The sequence below is a fragment of the Homo sapiens genome, chromosome 2 (assembly GCF_000001405.40).
Source record: "Homo sapiens chromosome 2, GRCh38.p14 Primary Assembly".
In the NCBI taxonomy this organism is placed as follows: Eukaryota; Metazoa; Chordata; class Mammalia; order Primates; family Hominidae; genus Homo; species Homo sapiens.
The window spans coordinates 1,392,873-1,409,168 of record NC_000002.12 but is presented as its reverse complement, the minus strand read 5'-3'; the positions used below and the strand labels follow the sequence as shown (position 1 = coordinate 1,409,168).

General features: G+C 47.2%; 1 protein-coding gene across 6 annotated transcripts in view, besides 1 other annotated feature; it reads right to left on the bottom strand.

The window, feature by feature from the left end:
• Positions 1–16,296, bottom strand: part of TPO (thyroid peroxidase) — a 169,627-nt gene that overhangs the window by 134,505 nt on the left and 18,826 nt on the right. For 2 of the 6 annotated variants that reach the window (XM_047445652.1, XM_047445655.1), the window contains exons 2-4: positions 5,071–5,981; positions 2,113–2,176; positions 962–1,197 (exon numbers count right to left, since the gene is read on the bottom strand). The gene's annotated coding sequence lies outside the window, so the exon portion shown is untranslated. The remainder of the gene's footprint in view (positions 1–961; positions 1,198–2,112; positions 2,177–5,070; positions 5,982–16,296) is intronic. The other 4 variants (XM_047445653.1, XM_047445654.1, XM_047445656.1 and 1 more) reach the window with 4 other exon arrangements.
• Positions 5,102–5,602: an enhancer, noted in NCBI's record as "H3K4me1 hESC enhancer chr2:1407339-1407839 (GRCh37/hg19 assembly coordinates)". NCBI's record gives its function as "activates a minimal SCP1, AML or CMV promoter by ChIP-STARR-seq in primed H9 embryonic stem cells {active_cell/tissue: H9 hESC(primed)}" and the evidence as "EXISTENCE:reporter gene assay evidence [ECO:0000049][PMID:30033119]".

The window sequence follows — 16,296 nt, the reverse complement described above, 5'->3', positions numbered from 1 at the left end:
GTGCGAGGCTCCTCTCATGGACTCTGGGGACGGCAGTCTGTCCCCATGTGAGGCTCCTCTCATGGACTCTGGGGACCGCAGTCTGTCCCTGTGCGAAGCTCCTCTCATGGACTCTGGGGACACCATTCCCCTGTGCTTTGCGTTTCTACAAGCTAAGGATGTAAAACAGCCTCCTGACCAGGGACCCATGCCATCGGGGGTGACTTATATCAGCAAAGAGCCATCTTCTCACCAAGGGTCACCTCTCCTGCCCTTCAGACATTTCAGCCACGTCTTTCTAAAGGTGGAGATGTGGCTCTAACTTCGACATTACACTCTTCACAAGAAGGAAAAGTGGACAAAACAAGGCATTAAATTGCTGATGGATGCTTCATTGAAAAGTTGCATTTCCCCGTGTCCTTCCTACTTCTATTTGGTGAGGAATGTCTGAGTAGGCCGATTGAACATCAAAAGTTTTTATGTTATAAGATTAATTAATTAATGAATGTACTTTTCTTGAGCCCACGGGTCTCTGCGGCTCTTCCGCCTCTGCTATTGCAGGCAGAGTGACTGCACGTGCCCACCCACTCACAGGAGCACATGGCTTTAACTACACATCTTTTTTGCGTTTCAGTTTCCTCATGAATTATGCAGTAGATTCTCCTGTAAAACTCCGTACTCTAATTACCACCCTGCCTAGGCAGCTAAGCTCACTGAACCAGGATTCATCAGCAGCCCACGCACAACTCGAATGTCAGTGCTTCCAAGGCTGGGTGAGGATGCTCTCCCCACGTGAAAACAGGAAGCAGGTGCAATTAACTGGGAAGTGCAGAGGGCAGATCATGACCACAGTTAACTACTTCACAGGGAGAGGAGCTGATTCCAGTAGTGACCTGAGAGCTCTGATTTCGGTCATTAACTTAGTAAAATGCTCTAACTAGTTACATGCATCCACATAGCCTCAGCTATCCGCTCAACTCACATAAACGATATCCAGCACCAGGCCTCTCTGCACACGGGGACAAGAGGATCCTGAATATCTGTGTGCTCGAGTGGCCATCCATGATTTGGCAAAAGAGCATTCTGTAACTCTGGCGTCAGAAGGCCCAAGTAGTGCTCAAGTCCCTTTCAGCTGCTCTATGAAGTGTGAAGAATCCCTGGTTCCATTCAAGAGCCTTCTAGTAGTTTCCAAATTACGTGTCAGTCCACATCACATTCCTGTAAGGAGGATTCAGAATACAACCAGATCAAGTATGCATTAGAATAAAAGATGGAATCCCAGATCTGAATTCTTTGCATTTGTGTAGAAATCTTCAAAGTTTTAGTTCAATTTGTCTTTACAGTGTAATCTTGAAGATGTGGGTTTCATAGAAATGGAATCTTCCTTGATGTAAGCCAAAAAGAAGGTTGCATGATTGTTCTTATTTTAGTGAATTTAAATTGCCACAAGGGATAATGGAAACATTAGTGATCATTAAGAGGATGTTGTGCTCATCTGGTTTATTAAATATTCTGATAGCCTCAGTTTTATATTGTGTGTTAAGAATACTGATATTTGGTGAGGTATGACCAAGTAACTTTGTGACTTTCCTGAAATGCCTGCATCACCTAACAACCTGCTAAGAGACAAGAAAAGGGGGTAGTTTGGAAGACTTCTTAGAAATAAATGTGCCATTTCTAAAAAGAAAGAAAATGAAACATTTGGCTTTTGTTAGATTGACAACTACACAAAGGACACATCTGCTTGGTCAATTCGAGAAACAATTCAGAGATGCACTTTGAAAAATGTTTCACCAGTTTTCAGCTGTCTCCACAAGCCCCATAACACACCCCTTTTCTCAATGTTCCAGTAGAATATTCCACAACTGCCAGTAACAAACTTCAGGTTTTGGCACTTTCCCCAGGTACAGATCTCAGTTCCTTTACGAACAAAGTGGTATTTAGAAAGATACTTTGCTGACTTGAATGTATTTCTAAGGGTATTTGGAAAGTAATAGTACACATACAATTTGTCAATATTAACATAAACAGAAATCAAAGCCACTGGTAAACCCGGTGGAAACGTTTGTCTTGAGGGCTGCATGTCTGTGTTGCCATATTTTCCTTACAAACCCTTGCAGTCACAATACTTACATTGCTCACCTTCCCTCACTTCTCCATCAATGTCCAGTGCCTGTGTCTGCCTCTCAACCTCCACCTGCAGCAAAATAAATTTTTCATTGTCCTGCACATAATACATTTATGAAACAGTGTGGTGAGGACTAAATACATACTCATGTTCCCTCCAGGCTGATGATCTTTCAAATAATGATCTGGTCCAAACAAGTACTTCCTTCCTTTGAGAAACATCCTGTCTAAGGTGCAAGCTCATCTCATTCCAAACCCTTGGCCTCTCCCATAGTCTTCACCTTCCACTTGCTAATGGCAGAACAGGAGCTTGTATTTACATTACTGAAAGGAAAATGACTCCAGTCCCTGAAGGAGTTTCTAGGGGTAATATTGTGAATGGCATTTGGTCCTTTGTTTCACAGCATGTTGTGACCCTAAGTGAGATTAATAGAGAGGAAGATGCCCTCAGGCCGATGAGCTCTGTAAAACACAAGGCAGAGCCATGGCCAGCAAGAGCATCTCAGAGGCCCAGGGCTGTGTCTTGCTCAGGGGTGATGGGGGCTGCAAGCCAGGCATGGCAGGTCCAAGCCAGACCATGTCTGGAAGCAGAGAAGGACCTGGTTAGTGGACAATATTCACGTGGATAATAGGATGGCTAAGCTAAGTTCTTTGTGTCTTACAATAGTCACAAAAAGATAACAAAATGTAACACAGGTGCCCTGGAAAAATAAATTTTAAAAAATGGTACTTTTTTAAGCCCAATACTTCAATCAGGTTCAAAATTGTTAGTTTCTATAAAAGGCCCTAGCATCTATACACATTAGAATGCATGGCTTCCCTTGCCAAGTGGATTTCCCTAATCTGAGTGGTGAAGGTCGGTAAATACACTTAAGTAATTTCTAGAGGAGGATGTGAATATCACTAAACAGCTCCCAACTTGCAGGCATTGAGCTTCCCCAGAAAATGATGCAATGTGCGTTCCTGTTGAATTAGAGACACAGGTTACAGTAGGGTGAACCAGCCAAGTCAATCAATTTAGGGAAACAACAAAACAAAACTAAAAATGAAATAATGTTGTTTTGACCAAATTACAGTTTGAAAGGATGCGTGTTTTCTTTCTAGCTGATTTGGGATTGTATTGTGGTGACTGTAGAAAAAACCACAAAGGTCTAAAAAGAAGCCTAATCTAGAATATCGTCCAGTGGATATTGCTTCTATTAAGTAAAATAAATGACTCATATTTCTTTTTGAATAAACCAAATAATTACTGAGAACTTCTTTAGGGTCAAGTTCTGTGCTTGACAAGTGTGAACATGAATAAGATGTTCTTCCTAACTTTGTAAAAGTTATAGTTGAGTTAGGAAGATAAAGAAGCAATTAATTTCTGTGGAGTGGGAGACATTCCCTATTAGAATCTTGGGGGTGAATCTGTGAGAAAACAGAAGAGGGCACCTGACAAGCTGAAATAATGAGGAAATGTTCTGGGGGAGATAAAAGGTCGGTGGAAAGAAATCTGGGAGAGTGGGGTGGGTTCTGATTATGGATGGATGGGCGGGGAGGTGGTGGGTGGATAGATGGATGAATGGGTGAATGGATGGATGGATGGAGAAACTGATCAGTGGATGGATAGATGAGTAGATGGGTGGATGAAGAATGGATGGATGGGTGGGTGAGTAATAAAAGGATGGATGAGGGGGTGGATGGGTGAATGGGTGGATGAACGAGTGGGTGGATGGATGATGAATGGATGGATGGGTGGGTGCATGGATGAGTGAATGGATGATGGATGGATGGATGTGTGTGTGAGTGATTAATGGGTGGGTGGATGATGGATGGATGGATGGATAAATGGAAGGATGGATGAATGAATGAGTGGATGGATGAATGGATGGATGAATGGGTGGATGGGTGGGTGGATAATGGATAAATGGGTGGGTGGATGATGAATGGATGGATAGGCGAATGATGATTGAATGGGTGGATGGGTGAATGGGCCGATGGATGACTCGATGTCTATGCGGGTGGGTGGGTGGGATGCATGGATGAGTGAATAAAGGAATGGATGGCTGCGTGGGTACATGTGTGAATGGGTCGATGGATAAAAGAATGAAGTGAATAAATGAATGACATATTTAAATAACTGATTGAATTATTGTAAGGGTGAACTACAGATAATAACCAGCGCTATAAAATTAATCTTGAAAGGTAAGAAAAAAGGACTGGATTATAAAATACCTTACTTTTTGTGATAAATTCAATAGAATGATTTAATAGAAAACCAATGCTGCAGCCTTCTAGAAAGAAAGAAATGACCGTGTATGAATTTCCTGGGACTGCCATAACAAAGTACCACAGACTGGGTGGTTTAAACCACGGACATTTGTTTCTTCACAGTTCTGGAGACCAAACATCCAAGAGTCAGATGTTGGCCGGGTTGTTTTCATTCTGAGGCCTCTCTCCCTGGCTGGTCACCTTCCCCTGCGTCTTCACACAGTCATCCCTCTGTGTGTGTCTGTGTCCTAATCTCCTCTTCTTATTAAAGACACCAGTTGTATGTAACTAGGGCCAAACCTAATGGCCTTACTTTAACTTAATTACCTCTTTGACAACCTTATCTCCAGGTACATTCTGAAATGCTGGGGGTCAGCCCTTTAACTTAGGAACCCTGGGGACACAGTTCAGTCCCAAACAGGCTGCAGTAAAAGAGAGCAGGAATCTTCCTCTCACTGGGTCACAGCAGAGGAGGCCCTGTCTACTCCTCTTTGGGTACCAAAGATGTAGAATGGGCTACTGCATTACCACAATTGGCTAAGGAGAACACATTTCCTCCCTTGAGACAGCGTGCAACACAGGTGATAGGAATCTAAGGAGAACACCTGGCAAGGTCTGTACATGTGCATTCCAGGGTGAAAAAAATGCTTGCCTGGTGTCTCTTAGCCCCTCCACTTCCAGTTTCAGAATCACATACAACACGGGTTTTACCTTTGGCATGATCTGTGCTCGGGAGATCCATAGCTATGGGTACATTAGATTCTCCGCTCCATGCATAAGTTCACGCAAGATTGCATATATCCAAAACTGAAAGTTGAGAAGACTCTGAATTGGTGCAGGCTGGTTAATGCAGTAACAGACAGGCCCCCATCCCAAGCTTTGTCAAGGGGCTGTGCTCATCCTGACCATGCAGGGTCCCAGGCTGATGGGGCAGCCACCGTTTCCATGCTGCCGCTGCGTGCAGAGGGGAGATTTGGTGGGGCCCGGCGTGCTCTGGTCACACCACTCCCACTAAAGCATGCCAGGTGGTCACACCACAGTGAAATGTGAACCCACGGTGTGCTCGGAAGGAGGGAGATGGAGCCATCTGTGAGCCGCTCTCGGGACTGTCACGGGACCACGTTCTTCTAAGAGCCTTGCTTGACAGAGAAGCGTCCTGAAGTTCACATGGTAAGGGGGCAGCTGCAGCCACAGGTAGTTCCAAAGAACTCTGAGGGTCACCAGCCCATTGTTCCCCAGTGTCCCCCACCCACGGTGCATGGCATTTTTGTGAGCACAGCCTCCTGCAACAATTCTGAGACACAGCAGGCACCACTGCTATGGAGGTACCACTGCTGAGGAGGGCTGTGCTGTGGCCCCACTGTGTCCTCACAGCTGAACCACGGAGAGCCCAGAGCTGCTGCAGTACCTTTAATTTCATTCTATCTCACGATGGTAGGAGGAGGGAGAGCAAGTGGTGTCCATCTGGGCCTCCAGTGGGACAAGGGGACTGACCCAAGCATCGCCAGGCTGCCCGGGCATGGCCTGTGTCCAGCAGAGCCCCCGCTGGCTCTCACATTGCCTTGCCCTGCACCCCGGACAAGCTCCCACACACCCCAGAAGAATGGAGCTGGGCAGTCCATCTGCGGGTTACAGAGAAACACAAAGTAAAGGTAGTCACTTAAATACACCACTTAAAAAAAGGGCTTAGGTCATGAGCAGGCAATTCATAAAACAAAGGAAAAAATGCAAATATATCTTTCTAAAAACATAGTGATACAGGAAACGCAGGTTAAGTATCAATGAGACATTATCTTTTCCCATATTGCGAGTGACTAAAGATGCAATAATGGTGGCTCCAATGAGGATGCCGGAAATGAAGGACTCACACATTCACCACTGGTGGAAATGCAGATGGGAACCTTTCTGGAGAAACAAACTGGCGCTCAGTTTCCAAATTCAAGATGTACAAAATATGGGGTGATATGGTTCGGATGTGTCCCCCCTCAATCTCATCTTGAATTGTAGCTCCCATAATTCCCAGGTGCTGTGGGAGGGACCCAGCGGGAGATAATTAAATCCTGGGGGCAGTTTTCCCCCTACTGTTCTCCTGGTTGGTGCTGAGTAAGTCTCATGAGATCTGATGGTTTTATAAGAAGTTTCCCCCTTTGCTTGGCTCTTATTTTCTCTTGCCTGCCACCATGTAAGACATGCCTTTCACCTTCTGCCATGATTGTGAGGCCTCCCCAGCCATATGAAATTGTGAGCCCATTAACCCTCTTTTCCTTTATATAAATTGACCAGTCTCGGGTATGTCTTTATCAGTAGCACGAAAATGGACTAATTCACTGAGGAAACAGGAAATCCCCCACCCCCCTTGGCTCCGTGTTGGCTCCCAGACTGGCTGGCTCCCTGCTTGCTCTGTGCTCCCGTCTCTTCCTAAGCAGGTCCTTCGGGGTCTGGAGATTCCACGGGGCCAGGCATTACCAGCAGTCTTGCTTCCTGTGCCTTCCCTGTGGGATTTAGGGGGTACTCTTCCTCTTTCACTATCTGCCCCCAGAGTCAGGGAGTCCTCCCGTGGATGCCGACCGCAGCTCACTGGGCAGGGTGGCCTTTACAGGTGGTCCCTGGATGAGCCCTGGGCCACTTGCATCTGAGGCATTGGTTAGGTGGAGAGGCTTGGGGCCCACTTGGCTGCATACGGAATCCACAGGATGGAGATGTGGCCAGAGGTAACCGTCAGCCCTTTCATCCTGAAGTCTGTGCAACATTCTCTGATCCAGATGAGGAGCAGCCAGGAAGCAGCATTTGGGTGCCCTCCACCTGCCCACTCACACAGCCTGCGTGGGTCTGGCTGGCTTTTGTCTCATGGCTTGCTCGGTAGGATCTCTGAGTAAATGGCTGGCTCGCGGCACTCAGTGCCCTTTGACTCCTAACCTATACCCTTGGACCCACAGTTCCAAATCTGGAATTTATCCTAACAGTCAGACAAATACCCACAGGGGTGTGTACTTTCAGGATGTGCTGCAGAGTGGCTTTGCAGGCTAGAGTTTCCTGGGAGGTCATCACTGAGATATTGGTTCAAGGCACCTGCTCAGCCCACACTCTGGCAGAAGACACTGAGGCAGGATTTGAGGTACAGAATGCTTATTAGGGATCAAACCCATGCCAGGAGGAGGAGGTAGCAGGATGGGCAGAGGGAGAAGCTCAGGGCTGTGCAGGCTCTGCTTGTCTGGTCCTGAGGGGAGCTATGGGGCTGTAGCTGGCCTGGCTGGGTCATGGGTGTAGCTGCCTGGTGGGTAGTGTCAGCATTCTCGCTGGGAGGACACTAGGCTGGGAAGGCTCCAGGGCTGGGGTTCTTGAGTGAGCAAACCAAAGCCCATTGTAAACAGAAAAAGAGAACTAGCGACTTTACTAATCAGAAACCACCAACTCCCCTGTGGCTGGGGCTCCTGCTCTAACTGATTGGGTGCATTGTCTCTGTCTTCCTTCCCCATCCATCTGAGAGGTCACTGCCCTCGCTCTTCTCTGAACCTCCTCTGTTTCCGAGTGCTGCCCAATTCACGAGTCTTCTAATGGTCAAGTAAACTCACTTCAATGTGTTTTGCCTAAAGTTTTACTTTTATCAGGGTGACTTTCTTTCAGCAGGGTGATTGTGATGTGCACGCTGCCTACAGCTCAGGCCAACCTGCAGGCACAGATATGGGAGGCTCTGCTAATGGGAGCCTCAGTCTCCTGGAGGGGACTGGAGGTGAAGCTCTCTGAGCTTACAGCAAGGTGAGGAGTATCCAGACCTACAAGGACAGACATCAGGTTGGAAAGTCAGCACAGGAGACTATGACGCACAACAGTTACTTCAGGCCACGAGGAAGGCTTGGAAAAGGAATGTCCTTTTTACTTGTATTGCTGGATTTTTTGCCACAAGGATACATGATTAGAAAGGAATCCAGCTTTTGAGATTTTTGTAAAAAGAAAAAGGCATTTTAAAAAGATCCCCTTTGGCTTACCCATTAATGTCTGACTTGACAAGACATGAAGACTCCACATGAAGTTAATTTTCAATTCTTGCTGATAAAAATCTTGGATAAACTAACAGCTACAATAAAAGCCTGCATCAGTTCCACTGAAACGTGAAGGAAATTTACGTTTTCATTTGTGCTGCTTGGGCAATTTTGCACATCATAAGTGAAATTTGTTTTTTTTTTTTTTGAGACGCATGTAATGTAAAGTCACAAATATTTCTTTTTTTTTTTTTTTTTTTTGAGACAGAGTCTCACTTCTTTATCCAGGCTGGAGTGCAGTGGTGCAATCTCAGCTCTTTACCCAGGCTGGAGTGCAATGGTGCGATCTCAGCTCTTTACCCAGACTGAAGTACAATGGTGTGATCTCAGCTCACTGCAATCTTTGCCTCCCAAATTCAAGCAATTCTCCTGCCTCAGCCTCCCGAGCAGCTGGGATTACAGGCACATGCCAGAACGCCCAGCTAATTTTTATATTTTTAGTAGAGACAGGGTTTCACCATGTTGGCCAGGCTGGTCTCAAACTCCTGACCTCAAGTGATCCACCTGCTTCGGCCTCCCAAAGTGCTGGGATTACAGCCGTGAGCCACCGCAGCTGGCCTATTTTTGGTTTTCAATTAATAGCTGGTTGCAACTTCAAGTATTTTTTTATAACCTAGGAGCCTCTCCCCTATCTTTGATAATAACATTTCAAACATAATTTTTTCTAAATGCAAGAAGCTACTGCAGAAAATAGACAGGGACAGTGCCACATGAGGGCTGAAAATAAAGGTCAAGAATGTCCACACTGGGAAGGGGAAGAGAGCCCAGGGGCGTCTGGCTGGAGAAGAGGGAAGGGTGGCGGCCATGGGTGGCAGCTCCCATTAAGTGGGGCTACCAGTAAAATGCAGGACACTCACCTAAACATGAATGTCAAATAACAAGTAAGATTTCCATGTAAGGATTTTCCTGTGCACCCGTTGATGTGCCTTGTTCCTATTTGCAGAACCTGGTGCTCCTAGAGAGGTGTGAGTGAGTGAAGACAGGTGTCCTTCAGAGAAATTCATGCAAGGAAGGCAGATTGAGGCCACATGGGGAGGAGGCAGGAGCCCCAGGCCCTGGGATGGGAGAGGCTCCCGAGGCACTGGAGATCTGCAGAGATGGAAAGGGTGGGCAACAGGGCCTCTGATCTTCAGATTTGCTTTCTGCAGTTTCAGTTCCCTGTGGTTAACCTCAGTCTGAAAATATTACATGAAAAATTCCAGAAATAAACAACTCATCGGTTTTAAATCATGCATCATTCTGGGTATTGTTATAATTGTTCTGTTTTATTATCAGTTATGGTGGATCTCTTACTATGCCTAATTTATAAACTAAGCTTCACCGTGGGTATGTGTGTAGGAAAACACAGCATACATAGGACTTGTTCTCTCCATGGCTTCAGGTGTCCACTGGGGTCTTGGAAAGATTCTCCTTTGGATAAGGGGGCTGCTGTATTGGAAAGGCCAGAGTTGGAAGCCCATCGTCAGGCTGCTGATGCTGCTGGAGAAGCTCCGCGCAGAAAATGCAATCTGGTGATGATGCCCAGGAGGGCTTGGAGAGCACGTGGCTCTGCCTCCCTCGGGGGGGCTGGACATTTCATGAGGACTCACCTGGGGCAGACAAGGGAGGGATGGCTGAACAGAGGAGGGCATGGGTGAACCCAGAGTCCTGTCCTGCAGAAACAACTGCAGCCGCCACCTGGGAAATGCACCTGCAGGGAAGGTGGGGCTGGTCTCCAAGAAACAGAAGAGGGAAGAAATGTCTCTGGTCTGGTTCCTGGAAAGGAGAATGTGAGCGTGGCTTGCAGAGGAGGTGAGGGCCTGGCTGCAGGGAGAGCCCAGCCTCCTGGGCCTGGAGCTTCCTCAGGGGCCTGGCAGTGGCTGCTCAAGGAGTTTGGTGCCAGCGCCCCCCACCCTCTGTCAGTCCTGGGTCATGGCTGCAGGTGAGGGGGCACAACCTTCCAGGCACCTTCTCTGCACTCCCTGGCCCCTGCAATCCTCAGCTGGGCTGCAAGGAGAGCCTTGGCCCCAGCACCCCATTCCTTGGGGGAAGGGCACCCCCACAAAGCCAGAGATAGAGACCCCCACGCAAGCGGTGCAGGAGGAAACCAGGGCTTGCCTGCACATGAACCAGGTGATATTCATGACCTCTCCCACTGCAGTTTTGTCCAGACCCTCCCTGCCCAGCTAGATAAATGCTGAGCTGTGGGGAGGCAGAGAAGGGACAGAGGTCTCCGCCTGTGATGTCTGCAATGCTGGGGCCACAACAGGAGCCGCCCACTGGGTGAGGTCTGAGAACCCATGGAGTGGTCTTTGCTTCTGAGCTGGTGCCGGGTGGTGGCCAGCCTTGTTTGCAGTGGGAAGCCAGGCAGGCGTGGGGTGTGGGTGTCTGGGGAGATGGCCTGATTGAAACCCACAAGTTTCCAGCCGTGCCAGAGCTGGCATAGAAGTGATCCAAAGGCAACAGTAGTTTGTGGGCAGCGCGGCAGTCAGGAGATGGGCCCCAGGCTGCCTGCAGGATACAGGGAGGCCACCACACATCACTGGGTGCCAGCAGGCATCTGTGGTTCCCCTAGGACTGATGGGGAGATGCCAGCAGAGAGTGGGGAAAAGACAGAAGCCCTGGCCACAGTCCTGTCCCTCACCGGAGTCATCCCTGAGTGAGGGAGGAATGAAAACTATGCCTGGTTTTTCTTGGAGTTGACTGGATTTATTTTCCTTCACTGTCTGGAAGTGGAGCTTAACCAAGAGATGAAGTTGCATGCCTGAAAATGTGCGGAACGCTACTTTTCTTGTACCCTTTGTTTGTGGCATGGGAAGTACTTTTTTCTGCACAAGGTGCATATTTGGAACTCTGGAAGTTTTGACCCCAGGTACGCCCCATGGGAGCTGGATAAAGGAGCTTCTGACATGTGTCTGGGTTTGAAAATGCTCTGCTGGGGGCTGATGGAAGGAGAGACAACATCGGGGGTTGTGCAGAGAGGATCGGAAAACACACACCTCTGATGGGCAAAGCAGAGGAGCCAACTGCCAGGCAGAGAGAGGAGGATGGAGGAGCCCCTTCCCCTGCATCAGGACCCGGGGGTGGGAGGCTTGGAGGCTGGGAGAGCAACAACAAGGACCAGAGATGCAGCAGGGCCTCCCAGCTCTGCCTCCACAGGCCACACTCCAGCACAGACTAGAATGAGCCTCTGTGCTTTTCCTCAGACTCAGGAACAGCAGAGGGCCGAGAGCTGGCTATGTCTTTCCAGCCTGAATTTGAGCTGCAGCTGGAGCTACAAACTTTGAGATGGGAGTCCCTCTGCACTGGAGCACGGCTCTGCCAAACTTTCAGGGCTTGCCTGGGGAGGGAATGGTGTATCTTCCTCCTGGGCCACGGCATCTGCAGGCACTCAGGGCACTCAGGGAAGGCATCCTCACATACCTATGGAAGTCAGTAACTCCCATGTCATGCCCTATGTTTCAGATTTGTGCTTCTTGTGTTTTCCTGCAGTAAAAATGGGATAACTTGGTTGGGAAGCAGTGATAATCTCTGAATTGAGGGAATTTGCAGAGACAAGATACTGTGGCAAATATAAACAGAACTGGATTTTTTCCTCAGCTGAGGCTCCTGTATGTGAACTCTAATTATCAATAGATCTTAAAACAGATAAAGCTGGCAGGTGTTGAGTCCTTACGGCATCTTTATGAGGCACCTACTATTGTTTCCACCTTTCAGATGACGAAAATGAGCCTTGATAATGTTCCAACAGCAAGTGAGTACAGGGTCTGGAACGGATAGCAAGTCTCATTTGGAAAATACACATTATTTGAATACATTGAAAACAAGTATGCTGATGTTTATATACCATAGAAACATTGAGTCCAAGTTCTATGACTTACTCCTACATAATGCATTAACTATTTAACGCATCTATTAAACTTCTGCGGCTTTATTTTAAAATTGCATGTTTTCCTGAGGCACAACGGAGCAAGGATGGATTCATTTGCCCACACATAGCTTGCAAAAAAGCCTGCCTTGGGTCCTAGGCGGGCCAGCTGGACGTGATTGTTAACAGACACTGACAGCTTCTAACCTGGGGCTCATGCTCCCTACCTGATGGCAAAGGTGGGATTTGGGATGAGACTGTCTCCCCGTGACGCGATGCCCATCCTCACGCATCTGAGGGAAAGAACAGCGGCTCATTCTGCAATTTCCCTCCATGTTTATGTGGTGCCAGAACATAACCACACCTGTCCTTTCTGCAAGTCAATGGGCTCCCTTAGAATGTAAAGTTACTCCACTGCTGAATCAAAAAATATTCGAGCACTGTCAGATTTGCAGATGGCTGACACATGCACGGAGACCCTCTCAGCTGCGGAAGACATTGCTGTGAACTGCGGGACGTCTATACTTCTGCCAATCTCAGAGCTGGGAGCTGTCCTGAGACCCAGGCCTCCTGCCCTGGCCCCAGTGGGTAAACGCTTCTTGGGATGTGGTTTGCTCTTGGTCTAGTGTCTGTGCCCTTCAACTCCCAGAATTCTTGGGGCAGGTTTGAGTTTCCCAGATTACTTTTTAGCTCCTCCGTCCTGGGGAACCCCTGCTGGCCTCTGTGGCCATGTGGCTCCCCTCTGCCTCCTCCCCAGCCTTGGTGTCTGCCCTTTCCAAGGGGAGATGGGGCCTGGGGAAGCTGTGCCAGGCAGACTCTTCCCACGTGAGCTTCCAGCAGAGCAGAGCTTAGTGGCAGCTCACAGGAAGCATCTGGATTATGTAGGAATTCAGCCTCTTCTTACTTCCTCATTGTATTAGTCTGTTTTCACGCTGCTAATAAAGACATATCCCAGACTGGGTAACTTATTAGAGGAAGAGGTTTAATGGACTCACAGTTCCACATGGCTGGGGAGGCCTCACAATCATGGCAGAAGGCTAAGGAGAGGCAAAGGCACCTCTTACATGGCGGCAGGCAAGAGAATGTGTGCAGGGGAACTGCCCTTTATAAAACCATCAGATCTCATGAGACTTAGTCACTATCACTAGAACACACTATCACTAGAACACACTATCACTAGAACACACTATCACTAGAACGGCATGAGAAAAACCCACCCCCATGATTCAATTACCTCCCACCAGGTCCCTCCCTTGACATGGGGATTATGGGAGCTACAATTCAAGATGAAATGTGGGTGGGGACACAGTCAAACCAGACCACTCATTAACGACACTCAAACCCACTTCACATGGAGAGATATTTTTATGTTTTTTATTTTATTATACATAAAATTAGGAAATTTATATCTTAAATCTATCAAAAAATACGTAGCATTATTTAACAATTTTTTATGTTAGACATAAAAGAAACTTGGGCCTTGCTTCCTTTTGCCATTTAAGTTTCCCCATGACCTTTAAGTGCAGAGCTTTTTAATAATCCAAAGCAAACTTGATTCTTTAAACTAAAGGAAGAATATTAGTGTGTATAAAATCTTGAATGGTCACATGGGAAATCTTTGTGTCAGAGCTGTTCTGCTTGGATTACAGTGTGGCTGGCTGGTTGGGGAAATGAGTTTCTTATTCTGAGTTATGCCAGAGCTTCTGTGCAGCAAACTGCACCCCTTCCAAGGGCACACCTGGGAGTGGAGCTGCCTGGAGAGGCAGGGCTTCCTGGAGATTTAGAGAAAGAGAAGTGGCTGATGCTTTGTTTGTGTTTGTTTTGCACTGACAGGCAATGGAGGAAAAGTAGTAAGACATTTAAATTCAAAGAAAAAACTGCAATTTTTTTTCATCCTAGAAAACTCTTGTTCAACTAAAGCTATAAATTATGAAGGAAAATCCAACATATGGTGTGCAGGGAAGCGGAAGCCTCAGGGTCAGAAGAGGCCCTGCGCGGTGACTAGGAGCCTGGAATCACGTGGGGGCACATCCTGAGTTCCGCTCCTGCAAATCTAACCGCATCTCAACACTCTCATGGCCCATCCAATGCGGCTTGCAAACCAGCTACAGAATGTGAAGGGCTCAGTGCAAATTAAAAACCCATGGCCCCTTCTCAAAAAATTATAAACCATTTCAGACCAGTGACAGCAGAGCATTAGACCAGGCAGGACTCTCTGGGCAGGGCCCGGGTGACGCTCGGTCCATGCGTCCAGGACAGTGGCCCTGAAGGTCACTTTCTCACGTTTGCATTTGCCTGTTCCATCCTCTCCAATCCCAGCCCCACTGGCCTGGGAGACACACTTTCTCCATCTCACAGGTGAGACATGCATGCTTCAAGTGTTAAAGGAGCATTCCTGGAGACGTCTGTTCGGCGGGTCTGGATCCAGGCACCTGCCTGACCATTCCACATCCTATTCAGAGAATCCAGCCTTCCCCATCCTGTGGTGGCTGGGCCAGCCCGTATTTTGAGGTCTTGGCAGATCAAGGTGCTTCTGCTCAGTGCAGGCGGCATCGAAGCCCGATGATGTACCCTCCATGGTCGTCAAAATGAAACTGTCTGAGAGTCAATTTCCCCTTTATACGTTCCATTACAAGGTTCTTATATTACAGGAAAAAATAGCTGAAATGTATAAGATGTCAATATTTGTGTTTTCCTGTAAACTTTAGCTTTAATATTCCACCGTATTCACAGTCTTCAAGCCTGGGACAACTCCATATCGTGCTAAATGCTTCAATGTGGAAGGTGATAGTGGATGTAGTGAAATATTTGGGGGCTGCTGGACATATTTTGTCAATGATTTCTAGGTAAAACTCTTACTTTGGAAGTATTGAAAATTGTCACATGGAGGAGATAGGTGGCTTAAGTTGAAAGTGGTATTTGAAAGGTTACTAAAGCGCCCTTGACACATAAACATCAACGAATTACTTCACGGTCTGTTTTATCTTTCACAGTCTACTTAAAATATTGAAATAAATAGTAGCTCCACTTTTCAGATAGTGTCCTTATAGCAATAAATGCGTAAAGAAGAAGTGAAATATTTAGAAATGTCACCATGATTTAGCTAATTCTCATGTATTCTAATATATAATTGGAAACATAAAAACATTATTTGTACTCCAATAATCACGCATGAGCATTTTTTCCTGGATAAAGTATTGACATTTCCAGTTAGGAACTCTCTTTTTATTTCCTGTATATCTATTCTGTTGTATTTCTGCAGTTTTTGCCTTGTTTTTCTCATGAGAGTTTCCACAGGCCTTATTTGGAAGAGCATTGAACAGACTTCAAGGTAGGCTTGCTATCAGCGGGTTCACAGGTGTCCCTGAGCTTGATATCAGCAGGTTCACAGGGTGTCCTTGGGCACAAGGGTCCCCCACCTGACCAGCCCAGGCCCTCCCCCAACACCCACCTCTTCCACCCAGGTGCTGTGTGGACCTGATCTTAACTCTGCAAAGTCACTGATATGGCTTGAATCTGTGTCCCCACCCAAACCTCACGTTGAATTACAATCCCCAGGGTTGGAAGAGGGGCCTGGTGGGCCTGGTGGGAGGTGACTGGGTCATGGGCGATTTCTCACGAATGGGTTAGCAGCATCCTCCTCATAGTGAATGAGTTCTTGTGAGATCTGGTGGTTGAAGTGTGCAGAACCTCCCTCTCCTCTCCTCTCTTCCTCCTGCTCCCACCTTGTGAGACGCCTCGCTCCCTCTGCCTTCCGCTACAATTGGAAGCTTCCTGAGGCCTCCCCAGAAGCAGAAGCTGCTGTTTCCTCTACAGCTTACAGAACCACAAGTCAGTGAAACCCTTTTTCTTCATAAGTTACCTTGCCTCAGGTATTTCTTTATACCATTATGAGAATGACCTGAGTCAGTCACCTTTGCCTTAAAGTAAAGCCAGTGATGACAAAGAGTCTATATGACTCTTTACACACTCATGAATGTAAAACATTACACATATTTCATTTTCATCCTAAGTATCTGTTTAAGAATAAAGAAGAAAAGAGAGAAGAAT